This window comes from Homo sapiens, chromosome 8, assembly GCF_000001405.40.
Source record: "Homo sapiens chromosome 8, GRCh38.p14 Primary Assembly".
NCBI lineage: Eukaryota > Metazoa > Chordata > Mammalia > Primates > Hominidae > Homo > Homo sapiens.
Window position 1 is genome coordinate 142,269,189 of NC_000008.11, and position 17,752 is coordinate 142,286,940.

General features: G+C 61.7%; 1 protein-coding gene across 43 annotated transcripts in view; it reads right to left on the reverse strand.

The window, feature by feature from the left end:
• The window catches only part of TSNARE1 (t-SNARE domain containing 1), a 194,950-nt gene that overhangs the window by 57,109 nt on the left and 120,089 nt on the right, over nt 1-17,752 (reverse strand). For 15 of the 43 annotated variants that reach the window (XM_047421461.1, XM_047421471.1, XM_047421462.1 and 12 more), the window contains 4 exons: nt 15,225-15,297; nt 12,702-12,759; nt 10,672-11,136; nt 5,682-9,489 (listed from right to left, as the gene is read on the reverse strand). In XM_047421461.1, the coding sequence (XP_047277417.1) occupies nt 8,724-9,489; nt 10,672-11,136; nt 12,702-12,759; nt 15,225-15,297 (1,362 nt within the window). In that variant the 3' untranslated portion in view covers nt 5,682-8,723. The other 28 variants (XM_047421491.1, NM_001291931.2, XM_047421487.1 and 25 more) reach the window with 8 other exon arrangements.

Here is a 17,752-nt window from a genome sequence, read left to right on the forward strand (position 1 = left end):
AACTAGGATCAGGCTCAGTGTGTGATCAGAATCAGGGCCAAGTCTGTCACCAGGATCAGGGCTAAGTCAGTGACCAGGATCAATGCTCCATGTGTAACTGGGGTCAGGACATAGTGCAGGAGCAGGATCAGGGCTCAGGGTCAAGGCTCAATGTGCAACTGCAGTCAGGACACAGTGTGGGGTGAAGGTTGGGGCTCAGCTAGCACCAGAGTAGAGGCTGTGTCCAGGTTAAGACTGTAACGCAAGACAGAAAACACACACAGCCATACGAGGCCACTGTCAGCCGTGCTGGGTATCTTTATTTATTAAGCTTTATTTTCTGTAGAAGCAAGGTTTTGCTATGCTGTCCAGGCTGGTCTCGAACTCCTGGCCTCAAGTGATCTTCCTGCCTCAGCCTCCCAAAGTGCTGTGATTACAGGCATGAGCCACTGTGCCCAGGCCATGGTGGGTATTTTTAATGGACAAGAACCCAGAATGAAGATCTACAGAGGCTTCCTGGAGGTGGTGGGACTGAGGTCATCTGGTTTGGCAGGATGGAAGGCCAGCTTTCCCAGGGTGGAACCATCAGAGTGGAGGCCCCGCCCAGAACCAACAGCAGCACCATGCGCACCCATAGAAGGGGTAGCCTGGAGGGAGGCCAGGCGTGCGCAGAAGGCAGCTGGACATGTGGCTACACCTCAGGTTCTTTCATAGACAAGTTACTGACACATTGCTGGCTCCAGGGGAAAACGCAAAACGAGGAAAAGGCCCCTCTCCCTGCTCTCAGGGATGCTGTAGTCTTTTGACTCTCGGCTGTGCCAGAGCTTCCCCGGAAGCTCCTGGGACCAGCATGCCTCCCACTCAAGCCAGTCAGCCAGCATCTTGCTCCTGGGACAGGCTTTGGGCCATGGGAGCCAGGCAGAGGCCCCAGACTAGCCAAGGCCCGGGCTGGTCCCACCTCCCGCTCCTGCTCGCTCCCGACGGCTGCCTAGGCTGGGGGGCTGCAGACTGTGCCCTGCCGCGCAGGGACTGGAGATGTGGCAGCCCCGCCAAGGGATCTCCCAAGAGTCAAAGGAGGTAATGGAGGAAGAAGGATCTGAAGACGCAGGGAAGTGCCCAGGCCCCCGCAGGGAGGCTGAAAGCAGCGGTGCCTGCCACGCCCGAGAAGCAGGCTCCAACTCACGTGCTCGTCAGCAGCCGCACTGCTGCCTGCTTTGTCATTTTATGCTTATGTAAAAAAATACTTTTTGCAAGAAAAATCTACAGGTACAAAATGTCATCCCAGCCCCATACAGTACCAAGTAATATATAGGCATATATATATATATATATATATTTATGTATTTATAACAGAAAATTGGATAGAAATTATTCCAGGCATATGGGATGTGGTTCCCCTGGGCCAGAACCACGTAGGGCAGAGGAGCCCTGCCCTCCAAGTGTGCATGCCCACCAAAGGGACAGGGGCTTTCAGGAGTCACACCAGATCACGCTTGGGACCTTTTTAGAGCCTGGCTGAGCCACCCTTTCCAGAGTTCCAGTGAGCAGGGGGCCCCTCAGTGCATCTTCCCCACCTCCCCTGCTTCCAGGGACGCTGGGCTGCAGACTTCGCAGCTGCTGCCACATGGGGTTGGAGCCTCCAACAGCATCATCCCTGAGTAGACCTGGTCCACTGAGTCCCACAGGTCGGCTCTCTGCAGCCTTTCCCTGCAGGTCACCACCCTCTACAGGCAATGGCAAGGACGCGACATCACAGGTAGACAGCCCACATCCTCTCATCCTTCCGGTCTCCTGGACTGGAGTTGTCCCGGTGCCCTGGAGACCCAGTCACTGCCACCTCTCCCCTGCCTGGACTCAGCAGGGGAAAGACTGGAGGCCCTGCTCCTGCCCTTTGGCTCTGCCAGCACCCCCGACCAGCCCTATATCTCCTCCTCCACCTTCAAGATCATCCCTGAGAAGACCTCGAGCCCCGAGTGGGTGCCCTTGGGGCTGTCCTGGGAGCCTCCAGCAGGCCCCTGGGCCACTCCACTGGCAGGACTACCGTCCTGGAGTGAGGGTGAGGCTTCCCGGGTAGGGCGTGCTTCCACCAGCCTCTCGAGGGTCCGGTTGAGGGCCTCCACGCCATCGGCCAGACGCTGGCTCTGCTCGGCCAGCCGCTGCAGCAGCAGGTTTTGCTGGGCCATGAGTGTGCTCTGCTGCTGGGCCCAGGAGGACAGCAGGGCGCCCTGCTGCCGGTGGGAGTCCAGCAGCTGCTGCTCAAATGCGGACGTTTCAGATGCTGCCGCTGGGGTCCTCCTGGAGGGCAAGGGAGGTGCTGGCGCCGAAGAGGGCGGGGAAGGCTGGAAGGCCCCCATGAGTGTGGTTGCTGGTGGGGTGGAGGCTGGGGAAGCAGGTGGGGAGGGTGAGGAGGTGGGTGCGTGGAAGACTCCTCGTAAGTCCAGGGGGTCAGGTTCAGGCAGGCTGGGCCCTTCCAGGGACCTCAGGGGCAGCCACAAGCAGCTGGGGGTCTCGTCCTCCTCATCAGCTAACAGAGGGAGACAGGAAAATGTCAGCCTGCACACCCAAAACCCAGTGATCTGGAGGGTGAGCAGGGTGCAGGGAGAGTGCCCATGTGAGGCCTCTGCACCTGGAGCTGTATGGGTCTCACGATGCTCCGTCTGCAGTGGGAGTTGCACCCGTTTGAGAGATGAGGAAACAGACCCAGAGAGGTGGGCACATTTACTCTAGTAGTGCTGGGACTGAAGCCACAGCCTGTCCAAATGCAAAGCCTGCGTGCCCACTCATCACAGCACCACTTGTATTCATCCTCCCACCGACTCCCCTGTGCTCCATCCGCTCGTCCGCCTGCCCTCTGGTCTACCCGCCATCCTGCTACCCAAGTGTCTATTCCTCCACATAGACACGCCCACCACATCCACTCATCTGTCCACCTGTCTGTTCATCACTGTCCAGCCAACCCCTTCCAACCTCCTCTTCCTTCTATTCATCCATCCATCCGTCTACTCACCCATTTATCCATGCTGTCTGTCCATCCACCCAGCCACTCACCCATCTACTCCTTCCTCCTTCCATCTACCCATCCACCTGCCCGTCTACACCTTCCTCCTTCCACCTAGCCACCCGCCCATCTACACCTTCCTCCATCTACCCATCCACCCGCCCGTCTACACCTTCCTCTTTCCATCCACCCACCCGTCTACACCTTCCTCCTTCCATCCATCCACCCGCCCATCTACACCTTCCTCCTTCCATCCACCTATCCACCCGCCTGTCTACACCTTCCTCCTTCCATCCACCCATCCAACTGCCCGTCTACACCTTCCTTCTTCCATCCATCCACCACCCGTCTACAGCTTCCTCCTTCCATCTACCCACCTGTCTACACCTTCCTTCCATCCACCCACCCGTCTACACCTTCCTCCTTCCATCCACCCACCCATCTACACCTTCCTCCTTCCATCCATCCACCCGCCCATCTAGAGGCCCCTCGCAAGCGGGAGCAGGACATTCTATGCAGAGGCGACTTCACAGAGGCCTCATCCCTCCTGACACACCGTGGGGAGGGCCCCTTGCAGGTAGGAGCAGGACATTCTACGCAGAGGCGACTTCACAGACACCTGGTCCCTCCTGACACACCGTGGGGAGGGCCCCTCGCAGGCGGGAACAGGACATTCTATGCAGAGGCAACTTCACAGATGCCTCAACCCTCCTGACACCGTGGGGAAGGCCCCTCGCAGGCAGGTGGGAGCAGGACATTCTATGCAGAGGCAACTTCACAGATGCCTCATCCCTCCCTGATACTCCCTGGTGGACCCCCTCGGGAACAGGAGTGGGACAGTCTATGCAGAGGTGACTTCACGGCCGCCTCCTGGGCCTGAGCCTTGCCCACCTCCTCTGCAGTGTGTCGGGGGGGCGGTGCCTGCTCTGCCAGGACTGAGCCCACAGGCTCACTGGGAATGCGGCACGGCGTCCATGGCACAGGTGGCTGGCCCAGTTGCCACTGCCCTCCTTTCCTCCTCCTCCTTCACCTCCTCCTCTTCCTCACTGTCCCATCGTCCTCCTGCCGTCCCAGGCATCAGCGCTGCTTCTGACCAGGTGATCCCAGGGTGCTCAGGAGGGGTCATCTTGCTGGCTGGCTTTCCTCTTGAAACAAGGCCTTCTGCGTGGTGTGGCCCTGAGTTTCCAGCGAGTCCACCTTGCCCGTCACCAGGCGTCACCTTCTGCCCATCACCTTCTGCCTCCTGGAGGCCCCTGGGCCTAGCTGCCCTCAGCGACTAGAGGTGCTGGGCCAAGGGCTGAGGCCAAACAGCCCAGAGCTGGCGCCAGGAGACCCAGCCCCAGCCTTGCCTCTGACCTCATCCTGCAGGTGACCTTGGCACAGCCTCTCCCAGGTCTTGTCTCCCGGCCTGGCGTTCACCAGCTGTCAACAGGGACTGACCCTTGGTGACCTGAACCTTCTGAGTCTCATGGCCCCCGACAGAAATGGGGAGGCCCAAACTGGGATCAGCCTCCCCGTTACCACACACTCCCACAGTGGGGGTGCCCGGGCTGGGTCCCACTGGGGAAGCTCAAGGCAGCCCTGGCCTTTCCCTCATTCTCCACCCAGTCAGGCCCCTGCGTGGTTCCAGCTGCGGCCCCCTTTTCCTCTTGCACCCCTGAGGCAACTGAGGACCCTCTGCGGGCACAGCTGTGATATCCCAGCGTCCTGGGGATGTGGCTCCTCTCTCGTCACACCTGCCTGTGATGTCCTGGGCTCGTCTGGCTGCTCCTGGACCCTGGCCTCACACCCACTGCACCATCTCGTCTGCCAATACTGCCCCTGCTCCGCCCTCAAGAGTGTGTGCTCTCCTGGCCCCAGCTGGCCCAGGGGCTTCTTCTGCGCTCCCACCGTGGCCCATGCCACCCTCACCTTGCTGGACTTAATGTCCAGCCTGCCTGGCCCCTGGGACTCCTTGAGGAACAGGCTCTGGTCATCTCTGCCCGTCAGGGCCAGTGGGGAGCACCAGGCCACAATGGGGACAGAGCCAGTGAGGGGAAGACAGCGGCTGGGCCTCCATCTCAGCTGGGCCACAGTCTCCAGCCAGCCTGACCTGTCAGGTCTTCTTGTGGTGACCACAAGTCAGCAACAAGGCCCAGTGAGTGGCTAGTCCTCAAGGTAGCTCCAAGTCCCACTTCAAGAAAATAAAGGCCTGAGCTTTCTTGTTCCCTCTGAGCCACTGACCTGCCCCAACCACAAAGTCCCCTCTGCAGTTCCCCGCCCCAGTATGGACACTGAGCTGCATGTCAGCATCTGGCACAGGAGGTGGAGCGGGAAGGCCCCAAGGGCCCTCCCCTCGGCTGCACCCCGGATCCATGGGAGAGGGCGGCGTGGTGCATACAAGAGAGGAGACGGTGCCGACCGCTGTGGGCACCACGCAGACCACTGCTGCCGCAACCCCGCCACTCCCAGAGCCCTAGGGCACGGGCAGCAGACTGGTTCAGAGGAGGCCTGTGGGCATGCCCCTCCCAGGCACAGGGCAGGGCCTGGGCCCCTCCAGACAGACGGAGGGAGGGTTGGAGGATAGGGGACGGAGGCCGGGCCGGCCGGGCACTGTGGCCCTCACACGGACTTACTTGGTGCCGGCTGGCTCCAGCCAGGAGCTGGCGGGCTGCCTCCGCATGCGAGGACGCAGCCTCAAGGCTGGCTTCAATACTATCTGCAAATCAAGACAACAGAAGGCAATTACAGATGGAGGCCCAGCCGCCCCCGCCCTGAGGACACCCCCCAAAGGCAAGCCCAGGGAGCCTGAGCCCAGGGCCTGCAGAGGAGCAGAGGCTGCAGGGATGGGCGCTGGGCTGCCAGACGTGCCGAGGGCTCCGCGTGGTGTGGGCAGTGGGCAGCAATGACATTAGAACGGAGGCCTGGAGGTGGCCCAGGGAAGGGGACTCCTCAGTGCCCACACCAGGTGGGGCAGGAAGAGTCCACTCAGGAAAGGGTGGGAGTGGCAGGCGGAGGTGAGGGCTGGGGTCAAGTCCTGCTCTGTCATGACCTTGCCTGGGCCAGCCCCTCCACTCTGTGGCCACGGCCCCCTCTGAAGGGGCAAAGCCCCTGCCTTAACGTCTGTGGAGTTGCGACGCGGCTGATGGAGACCGGGTCTGCAAGCACAGGGCTCTGGTTTGCCACACGCACTGGCCCTCGACTCAAGCACAGGGAGCTGATCAGAAAGTTGTGCTGCCGTGCGGGGATCACGGGAGATGGTACCTGGGAAAAGCCGGGCTCGGTGGCTGCAGCAGTGCCACCCAGGGAAGCCACATCAGCAGGGCCCACGGGAGACACCAGACCAGGGCCGGGGCAGCCCCAGGGATCCGGAAGATTCCATGCTCAGCATTGTCTTCCACCCAAAGGAAGGACACATGCCACCTGGGCACCAGGAGCGCAGGCACAGCCGGGGTCCTCAACAGAGCCACATGCAAACACGAGCAAACACGAGCACGGGCAAGCCTTCTTCCCGGAGGGAGGTTCCTTGCAAGGCCTGCCTCCAATCAGGCAACTGGAGAAGAGCTTGGGAGGCAGGAGTATCTAAACAAACTGTGCACCTGCAGTGCCTACCAGGGCACAGACCTGAGCTGACTTGAGCCTCAGGGGTCTTAAGGCCTGGGATAGAGAGGCCATTACAACCACAGGGACTGCTGCCAGGCACAGCCTGGCACGACTGGCTCTGAGGGAGGAGGGTCCTCAGAAAGACAAGGCCACTCCCCACCGTCCCAGCAAGGACTCCCTACTCTCATCAGGGAACTGTGGCCCCATCTCTGCAAGCCCCCTGGGCAGGAGGTGGAACCCATGAGCCCTGCCTTCAGAAGCCCCCACCCAGGCCTCACAGGGATCCTTGAACCCTTGGTCACCAGCTCCACCCCACCCTTGCCCCCAGCGCAGGGCCCTAGTGGAGCCGCAGGCACTCGCAGACACACCCTGATCGCCGCATCTGGGGGCTCCTGCCCTAGCCAGGGAGGGGAGAGCCAGGCTCCTGCACAAGGAGCCAAAGCCCAGAGAGCGGGTATGGGTGACGGCCTCGGCCGCTCCTGGAGCAAAGCACCCCTTTGCTCACTTGCAGACAGCCCCCAACTGAACTCTGCTCTCTATGTCCTGCCACATTAGGGTCACGACCCTCTGAGCCAATGGAGGAGGAGAGGGAAGGAAGATGGGGCCAGAGGTGTGACGGATCCCCCCACAATTGCCACTCAGGAGGGACCAGCCTGCCAGGGAGGAGGCGCTAGCCTGGGCCCGGGCAATGCCCCGCTCACGTGCAAAGGAGCCACCTTACACCTGCAGTGGTAACAGCCTGGCCTCGCTTCTGTTGCTGAGAGGTGAATGTGGACAGTGGAGAGCATTTGCCAGCAGAGACAGGAAGGCCATGGTGGTCTGGGCTAACACAGGTGGTGCTGGACAGGCCATGTGCCCTGGCTGGACACTTTCTCTGCCCCGTGACCACACGCAGCCTCAGCCAAGCCCTGGACCCCACCCTTGGACTCAGCCTGTGCCCAATCCTGCTCTACACCTAGCCCTGGCCCTGGGGACTCTGATCGTAGTGTGTGACCTGGAGGCCCACCCTCAGAATGGGGACTGATGTCCTGCTGCTCCAGGGCTGCATGCACCGGCCACAGACCCAGGGCGGTCCCAGGGGCATTCTTAGCCAGCATGGCACTGCCCACATTCAAGACACCTCACACAACCACTGCCCAGCTCCGCAGCCAGCAACATCTCCCTCAGCGCCCAGGCTGCCAGGTGGGCACGCCATGTCCTGCCCCGGCGCAGTGCACAGAGATGCACAAGGGGAGGGGGGCTGCTCCCGGTGCTGTGCGGCCGCGTGTTGCTCGTGGGGTGAGGACAGGTTTGGTGCGTGGGACCTGTGGTACTGAGCGACACTCCAATACCTCATCAGCCATCAGCCCTGGGCCCAGTGGCTTTGTCAGGTCTTGGAGGCCCCCAGTCTGTGAGGTGAGCCCTGCAGAGCCACAGGCCCTGGGCACCTGCTCCTCCCAACACAGGGGGTGCTCCACGGGGGCCCCTTGCACATCCCCTGACTCCAGGAGTCCAAGGGATACCCAAGCACTAGGCCAGAGGCCTCCAGGGGCCAGAGAGAGCAGCCTTTGGGACCGCCCTCCCCAGACACTCGCAGAGCAGCACACACACCTCAAAGGAAACTGCCTGCCCAGTGCCCTCAGGGCACAGGGACCCCTGTGGGAGACCCCCCTGCACTGGGTCAACTCGCTGCCCCCAGCCCCACAGCCGTGACCAGCCCTGCAGGCCTGGCCCTGCCCAAACCCCAGGCAGTGCCGCTGCAGAGCGGAAAGCATGGCCGGCTCGGGGCAACTGGGCCTGCAGCTGGGATGCCCCCACCCTGTCCTCAGGCTTGGCAGCCACTTTCCTACTTCCTGCCTCTGCGCCCACAAGAGGAAGTCTGGCCCTGTCCTAAGCACTCTCGCTTGGGAATTCAACACGTCAGTTGCTGTCAGCAGCAGGGCAGGCCACTCAAAGCAGCTCACAGGCACCAAAGACTCCCGTGCTGCAGGGGAGCCCAGCGGCCTGGGGACCTGGAGTGGCTGATCCACCAGGGGTCACAGAAGTCGAGGCTGGGTCTCAGTCTAGGGCAGGGAACCACAGGGTGAGCAAACCTGAGTTCCTGCAGCCTCCAGGGCTGAGGACTTGCAGAAAAGGACTAAGCACCTGGGCCACACCAGTGCCACCCCTGCCAGGCCCCTCCTTCTCAGCCCCACACCACATGTCTATCCTTGCCATGAAGCACCCCCAAACCAGGTCTGCCTCTGCCCATAGGACCCTTGGCTGCAAGAATCTGCCCTTCAGGAGACAATGTGGCCTCAATGGGGGTGGATCCAGCCATCCCTGGCCTGCACAGGCCTGAGAGGACCCAGATCCTCCTCCAGCCCCACCCCATCAGGAGGCCCACTGACCAGGCCCATCCCCCAAGCCCCACCACAAGGCCTAGTGCCCAGGCCCATCGCCCAAGGCCCACAGCCCAGGCCCCTTGTCCAAGCCCAGCCACAGGGTTGGCTGGGTCTACATGCGTCTCCCAACCAGTCCGGCCCACTCTGCCCATGGGTCCCAGCCTCATGCACCGCTGTGAGCAGGAGCAGCTGAGGATGCCCCAGCGCTCCAAGTTCTGCCATGGCTGCCACTGGGGGCGTTTGAGGCCAGCCCCTGCCTGTCCTGTGAGGCTGGGTCCTTCTGTCCACTCTGTGGCCCTCAAGGAGCTGGTCCTGCTTCCGGGGCTTCGTTCCCAAAGTCCTTCCAGCAGCTCCCAGGAAGGGGAGGGTCCAGCGGGGCTCTGCTTCGAAGGGTGTGCCACCATATGCGGAGGACGGCGAAGGAGCTCCTGGCACGGTGTCTTGAGGAGGAGAGGAGGTGCGGTGGGAGGAGGCACGGAGGCGGCAGGAGGAAGCACGGAGCCAGCATCACCCTCAGAGCCAGCGTCACCCTTGGAGCCAGTGGCAGCTGCGGGCTGCAGACGAGGCCTGACCAGACAGAAACGCCTGGCTTCCGGTGGTCCCTGGAGTGGGCCCGTGGGCTCGGAAGGGGGCACAGCGTGCCTGACAGGCTGAGAGTCACCGGACAGCACCACGTGTGGGGCTTCCAAGTGGGCCCAGAGGGAGGGGCCTGCAGAAGGAGGGGGAGGCCACTGCAGGCCAGAGTGAGGCACAGCGTGGGGCGGGGAAGAGTCAAGCTGGGGCCCAGGCTCCTCCCTGGCTCTGCCCAAACTCCTCAACGTGACCAATGAATGGACAGGTCACCTGCTGCTCCCTGGGAGCTATGTCAAGGGCCAGCTGGCTGGAGGTGCATATGGGCTGAGGCTCCTCCCACCTGCTGGCTGGCCTTGCCTTCTCATGGTAGCTGTACGCTGGGGCTCTGGGGCTGGGGGAGAGCGGAGGGAAGCCCTCCTTCTTCCCAGACACCCCTGTCTTCAGACCCTGGGGCCAGCTGGGCCCTGCTGCCCTGCATGGGAAAGTAGGGACTTCTCCCTGCTGGGACCCACTGGTTTGGAAGACCTGGCTGCCTAAGGACAGCCGTGCTCACCGCTGGACTGCATCTGGAAGGGGAGGGCTGCCCGTGGAGAGGAAGGCCAGGCCGGGACCCGGGGCCAAACAGGCCTCCGGCCACACGACACCAGGCGGGAACGGCAGAGGCCAAGATGGGGGCCTTGGAGGGCACCAGGGCACCCTGGGCTGCACCCGCTGCTGCTGCACGTCGGGGAGCTCAGGCCTTGTCTCTGCCCCTCACCAGGCACTGGTCCCAGAGGCCACCTTGTGACCGCCTCCCCACGGTAGCGCTCACCTCTCTACAGTGACTAGGACCCAGCATCCCATCTGGACACCCGGTGGGCACGGCTTGAGGTGGCGTATATGGTCGAGCCCCTTGATGGCACAATGCTTGGCAATGCAGGGAGGACCCTGAGCTGGAACCGCAGCCCTTCCACTACCGAGACAGGCAGAACCCTCCCTGGCCCCGACCCTTGGTTTCCCCACCTAAAAGAAGAGATGGGCCAGGAGGGTGGCGGGCCATCTCCATGGGCCTCTGGGTCTCCCTCGGAGGGTCTCCCTCTTGGGAGCTGGTGCAGAAGGCTCAAGCCCACTCGCCGGCCCTGCTTGCCCCAGGGCAGTGTGGTCCGGGGGGGCGGGCTGTGGGGAAGGCCCACTTACTTGGCAGGGGCTCCGTGGTCTGGCCCTCGCCTTGGGGACCGTGGGCAGAAAAGGTCTCTGCCACCATGCGCTCCACAGGTGTGAGGAGGAGGCCGGGGGCGGGGCCGCCCTCCGCCAGCTTCTTGCGCACAGCACCTCGCAGGTCCCGCCACTTGTGCTTGAGGTCCCCCAGGTCGCGGCGGCAGTAGCCCAGCGCGTTCACTGCCTGCAGGATGCGGCTCCACACGCGGTGCTTTCGGGCAGGTGTGCCCCGCAGCGCCCCGAACAGCAGCGGGTAGTGGCGCCGCACCCTCTGCACCAGCACCTCCGTCTCCTGGGGGCTGAAGTTGGGCTTGCGTGTCTTGGTGCGGGAGTGGGGGCCCGGCCGCAGGGGTGTGGAGCCCGGCCCGGCACCCAGCAGCAGGGCTGCCGCGGCCGGCTCGGGGCTGCAGCTCTGCTGGCAGATGGCTTTGCTGCTGCTGGACCCTGGAAAGGCACCAGAGGCTGAGCAGGGGGCAGAGACCCTGGGGAGAGCAGCCAGGTTCGGGGTCACAGGTCATCACAGGCCCTGCATCTGTGCACAGCGGCCAGGCCTCGCATCGGCACCCAGCATAGGCAGCCTACATCCACTATACAGGGGCCCTTCTGTCTCAGCTACTCTCTGGGCCTCCCGCCTGTCCACCCGGCAGGTGCCCTCTGCCCTCCCCGGAGCCCTGACCACGTGTGGTGGGTCAGCCCTGGTTTGTCCCCCTCCCCACGACTGCTCCCTTCCCTGAACTGCTGGCATGAGTGCCCCTCGTGATCAGTCCTTCACTGGGACTGATCAATCTGTCACTGGGACTGGGTGGGCACCTGAAGTGGACAAAGCGCTCCACAGACTCAGCACATCCCAGCCCGCGACAGGTGGCCAGGGGCAGAAATGGCTACAGCCACCTCTGGAAGCTGACAGTGGGGAGAAGGGGGGAGGACAGAGCGATAGGAGGGGTCCTGGGGAGAGGAGGTGGTAAGGGAGTGATGGGGCAGCCCAGCAGGCCCTGTATGGGGCCACAGAGCAGCTGGAGGGGGCCACAGAGCAGCTTGAAGCCCAGGCTCCGAGGGGATTGAGGGGCCGGCCTGGCCCAGCCCCGCCCCAGGGAGCAGCAGGGTGCTTGAGCCGCAGTCACTCTTCTCCTGGGGACACAGCACAGTACCCGGGAAGAGGACGCCAGCTGCCTGAGGGTCTCCGGACACACTGCCAGTTGTCAGAGCAGGAGGGACCAGGAGGCTGTTCTCGGCACAGGCCCCAAGGTGAGGCCACAGCTCAGTCAGGGCATGGAGGGAGAATGAGTGGGTGGGGTGGAGCCTGAGAGTGCTGGTGGGCAGCTGAGCGCTTTAACCAAAGGCCCGTGGGCACCAGGGGCAGCCTGGCTCTTCCTCAACTGAGGAAAAGAGACACCCAGCCAGAGCCAGGAGCCTCTGCCCCACTGGCCTGGGAGCCAGGGCTCCTGGCAGCAGCAGGTATAGACAGGGCGGGATGAATGGGTCAGAGCCCTCCAGTGGGAGCGGGAAAGACACCAAAACACAGCAGGGATGGGGTCCCTGTGGGAGGGGGGCAAGGTCAGCATCCCCTCAAAAGCCCCCTGCAAACCTGGAGCCCCACCATGGTTGGGGGCCGCACAGGCAGGCCAGGGCTGCTGTGTGACTACAGTGGGAAGAGGACATGAGAGACTCTGGCTCTCCACAAGCAGAGGAGGCCACAGCGCATGGAGTCAGAACTGGACACAGTCACCCCAGGGTTAGGGTCAGGGTTAAGGGGACCCAGAGCTTTTAGACCTCATGGTGAGGACCTCTCTAGGGAAGCCAAGGGCAACCCCATAGAGGAAGGGCTGTGGCCCAGGGTGGGTGAGCAACCAAGGCGGGTGGGGGCGCTGGGGAGTCGGTGGGCCTGGGCGGGGTCACTGGGCACTGTGACCTCTGTCCCATCTGGGAAGGCCCCTCCCTTGCCCCAGGTGAGGTTTCCTGAACGGAGCCTCCAGCCTCCCTGGCTCCAAGCTCAGCCCCTTCATCCTGACCTCTCGCCTGTCAGGTCCTTGATGGGTGGCCTCCAGCAGCAAAAGGGTAGGGCTTCTCCTGGGGACTCAGAGGCAAGGGACAAGACTGTGGGCCTCCCACTTCCTGCCCCCACATACAGCCTGGCGCTAAGGTAGGACCTGACTCTAGGCACCCGGGCACCCCTGCTGCTTCACTTCCTTTTCCAGAGGAACGCAGAGCTGAGGGCCCACGGTGCTGGCTGGGAGGTGCCCTGGCTTGCGGTGCAGCCCCTCTTCTCGTGGATGCAGGGACTTCAGGACACCATGCCCTGGCCAGGCCTGCACGTTCCCATGCCGCTCTCCCTACACCCCCCCAGCACGGGTACATCCATAGCAGAACCAGAGCTCCAGCCTCTACATCTCTGCAACCTCACAACCCTATCCACCCCAGAACAGCCTCACTGTGGGGAATCTCTGGGCAGAGGCCCAGGATGAAGGCGTGGAGGCTAGTATCTGTCAACGAGCGGAGCAGGGACCAGCGTCTGTCAATGATCAGGGTGGGGCCAGTGTCTATTAATGAGCGGAGCAGGGGCCAGTGTCTATCAATGAGCAAAGGGGAGGCCACTGTCTGTCAAAGAGCAAAGGCGGGGTCAGTGTCTGCCAACGAGCAGAGGCGGGGTCAGTGTCTGCCAATGAGCAGAGGCGGGACCAGTGTCTGTCAATGAGCGGAGGTGGGGCCAGTGTCTATCAATGAGCAGAGGGGAGGCCACTGTCTGTCAATGAGCAGAGGCGGGGCCAGTGTCTGTCAATGAGCGGAGGTGGGGCCACTGTCTGTCAATGAGCAGAGGCGGGGCCAGTGTCTGTCAATGAGCGGAGGGGAGGCCACTGTCTGTCTAAGGGCAAAGGCGGGGTCAGTGTCTGCCAATGAGCAGAGGCGGGGTCAGTGTCTGCCAATGAGCAGAGGCGGGACCAGTGTCTGTCAATGAGTGGAGGTGGGGCCAGTGTCTATCAATGAGCAGAGGGGAGGCCACTGTCTGTCAATGAGCAGAGGCGGGGCCAGTGTCTGTCAATGAGCGGAGGTGGGGCCACTGTCTGTCAATGAGCAGAGGGGAGGCCACTGTCTGTCTAAGGGCAAAGGCGGGGTCAGTGTCTGCCAATGAGCAGAGGCGGGGTCAGTGTCTGCCAATGAGCAGAGGCGGGACCAGTGTCTGTCAGTGAGCGGAGGTGGGGCCAGTGTCTATCAATGAGCAGAGGGGAGGCCACTGTCTGTCAATGAGCAGAGGCGGGGCCAGTGTCTGTCAATGAGCAGAGGTGGGGCCAGTGTCTGTCAATGAGCGGAGGTGGGGCCACTGTCTGTCTAAGGGCAAAAGCGGGATCAGTGTCTGCCAATGAGCAGAGGCGGGGTCAGTGTCTGCCAATGAGCAGAGGCGGGGCCAGTGTCTGCCAATGAGCAGAGGCGGGGCCAGTGTCTGCCAATGAGCAGAGGCGGGGCCAGTGTCTGTCAATGAGCGGAGGTGGGGCCAGTGTCTGTCAATGAGCAGAGGCGGGGTTAGTGTCTATCAATGAGCAGAGGCGGGGTTAGTGTCTGTCAACGAGCAGAGGCAGGGACAGTGTCAATGAACAGAGGCGGGGCCAGTGTCTGTCAATGAGCGGAGGCGGGACCAGTGTCTGTCAATGAGCAGAGGCGGGGCCAGTGTCTGTCAATGAGCAGAGGCGGAGTTAGTGTCTGTCAATGAGCAGAGGCGGGGTTAGTGTCTGTCAACGAGCAGAGGCAGGGACAGTGTCAATGAACAGAGGCAGGGCCAGTGTCTGTCAATGAGCGGAGGTGGGACCAGTGTCTGTCAATGAGCAGAGGCGGGGCCAGTGTCTGTCAATGAGCAGAGGCGGGGTTAGTGTCTGTCAACGAGCAGAGGCAGGGACAGCGTCAATGAACAGAGGCGGGGCCAGTGTCTGTCAATGAGCGGAGGTGGGGCCAGTGTCTGTCAATGAGCAGAGGCAGGGTTAGTGTCTGTCAACGAGCAGAGGCAGGGACAGTGTCAATGAACAGAGGCGGGGCCAGTGTCTGTCAGTGAGGGGAGCAGGGACCAGGTTCTGTCAATGAGCAGGGTGGGGGCCAGTGTCTGTCAAAGAGCAGAGTATGGAGCCAGTGTCTGTCGATGAGCAGGGTGAAGGCTAGTGTCTATCAATGAGCGGGTACCAGTGTCTGCCAATGAGCAGAGTGGGGGCTAGTGTCTGCCAATGAGCAGAGGCGGGGCCAGTGTCTGTCAATGAGGAGAGGCAGGGCCAGTGTCTGTCAATGAGCAGAGTGGGGGCCAGTGTCTGTCAATGAGCAGAGCAGGGACCAGTGTCAATGAGCGGAGCAGGGACTAGTGGCAACGAGCGGAGCAGGGCTGGAGGAAGACAGGGCAGGAGGGGAGGGAGCAGATGCTCAGACCTGGACCCCAGCCTGGGCCTGGCTCCTCTTAGAGGCCCCTTCACCCACCCTTAGGTGAAGGGGTGAGGGCTGGGGGCTGGCAGGCAGGCCCTCGGGGCAGCAGGTGGCCCGAGGCTGGGGCGGGTACCCACCAACAGCTTCTCCTTGCTCTGACACCATGGAGGCCAAGTCCTTGATGATCTGATTCACATCCAGCAAGTTGCTCTGTGGAAACAACATAGAACCACATCAGGAGCAGGGCTGTGGGGCAGACACCAAGGGCACCTGAAAGTTTCCCATGGAACCTGGGGCGGGCCCAGGTGGCACCTGCAGAATCAGGAACCAGAGAACAGCTGGGGACCGGCTGGTCTGTCCACTTCCTGTGACAGAAGGCATGACTGGGTCCAGAAAGGGCCAGGGGTGAGCCCAGGGTCACCCCAAAAGTCAGAGACAGGGCAGGGATCTGAGTGCTCCATCTCCTGACTCTGAAGCCAAACCCCAACCTCTCCAGGTGTCCTAGGGGCTGTGAGCTGCTTCCCTGAGTACAGAGGTCCCAGGGTCTGTCCCCAGGATTTGCAGTCTAGTGAAGGACAGCATCCCCAGCACTGTAAAGGCCTGACTGCAAGAGAGCAGAGAATGTCTAGGGCAGATATACCATCCCCACTTGCCTGGGTGCTCCTGCACAGAAGGGTCTACCTTTCCCTCTCTGTGTAACAGCACTGAGCATGGGCCAGCACACAGGCACTGCTCAGCAAATCCTAAAGAAGTGGGATAGATGGACGAACGGGTTCAGGGGAGTGGACAAAAGGGTGGATGGGTAGATGAAAGGATGATGGACAGATGCGTGAATAGGTGGGTGGACAAATGGAATGGTGGATGGGTGGGTGGATGGATGAATAGATGGGTGAGTGGATGGATGGGTGGGTGATGGGTGGATGGGCGAGTGGATGGACAGATGAATGGGTGGATGGATGGATGGGTAGATGGATGGATGCGTAGGTGGATGGATGGATGGGTAGGTGGATGGATGGATGGGTAGGTGGATGGATGGATGGGTAGGTGGATAGGTGGTTGGACAGATGGGTGAGTAGATGGATGGGTGGGTGGGTAGATGTATGGATGGGTGAATGGATGGATGGGTGGGTGGGTGGATGGATGGATGGATGGATGGATAGATGTGTGGGTGGGTGGGGTAGGTGGATGGATGGGTGCATGGGTGGGTAGATGGGTGGATAGGTGGGTGGGTGGGTAGATGATGGATGGATGGATGAGGGATAGATGGATGATGGGGGGATAGATGAGTGGGTGAATGGATGGAAGAGTGAATGGACGGTATGTGGATGGATGATGGACAGGTGGGTGGGTGGGTTGGTCAATGAGCGGCTAAGTGGATGGTTGCTCCACTGCTATCCAAGGACTGAGTGGCTCCATGAAGCTAGTGAACAGAGTAAGGAACAGAAACGTGGGCCAGGAGGACTTCGGGTACCCCTCCACCCCGGCATACTGTGCTGGCCTCTTCCATCTTCCATGCTGTCTACCTTTACCCTAACTCCTTTTTCCCAGTTAAGTGGCTCTGATGATCCTAAGAGACGTGGCCACGCCACTCTCAGAGCACACACCTGGGCTGTGCTTCAGGCAAGGCACATACCATCCCCTTCACACCTGGCACCCACCCAGGGGCATCCTAGCACCCATCTAACAGAGCAGGGATTGGGGGCTCAAGTGGTCCCATGACCTCCAGGGCCTCTCGGAAAGGGGAAGAGTTGGGATTCAGACCCCTGCCCACCGACCAGATGCCCACTCCTTCCCTGACTGCCACGCTGCACCTAGGACGGCTCCTCCGCTGGCCAGATGCATGGCCCTGGGCAAGCCTGGCCACCTCAAGCCAGGTTTGCTCACTTATCACCCGAACAAAAGCAACCCTCCTCACATAGCGCCTGGCACATGGCTGGGTTCCAGCCAAGTCCAGGGGAAGATCCTTCAGGCCTGCCGTGACCCCTGCCCTGGCACACCCGTCCAGTCAGCAGCTCATTCCAGAGCTGGGACTGACTTCCATGAGGGTCATTTCACCCCACTGCAAAATGTTACAAGGGAATTCATTTTCTCTTTAGGAGTATTCTGGGAAATGAAGCAATTAGCATGATCTTAAACTGACACGTAGTATCAATTGCAATTCAATTATCAGGCTTAAATGTGATGCAGAGGCAGGCGGTCCCTCTGCAGGAACTGGGCAGTGGCTGGGAAGGTAGCGAGAAGGTGGGGCCCAGGGGTCATGGCTTCAGTGTGCATCTGTGGCATGGCTATGGGGGCAACAGTGAACGAAAGGATGGGTGCGGGTTGGCCCGGGCCGGTTTCTGGTCTCCTCGTCACCACCACCTTCTGCCAGAGTGAGGTCACGGGTTCTGGAGACCAAGCCTAGGCTCCATCCTACAATGGGGACATCAAGGTCACGAAGTATGGCTCAGCCAGGTGGGTCCCCACCTCCACGGGCTTCCCAGTTATAGACGTGATCCCGTCAGAAGCCAGGCATGACCTCACCACCAACTTCGACCCTGGCCACTGAGCATACCCAGGCCTGGTGCACCCTGAGCCTGGTCTTGGTGGCTCATGGCCTCAGGGACTTGCAGGGGCCTTCCCAAGGGCTTCACAGGCAGAAGCATCTCCTCATGCGGCATGTGAC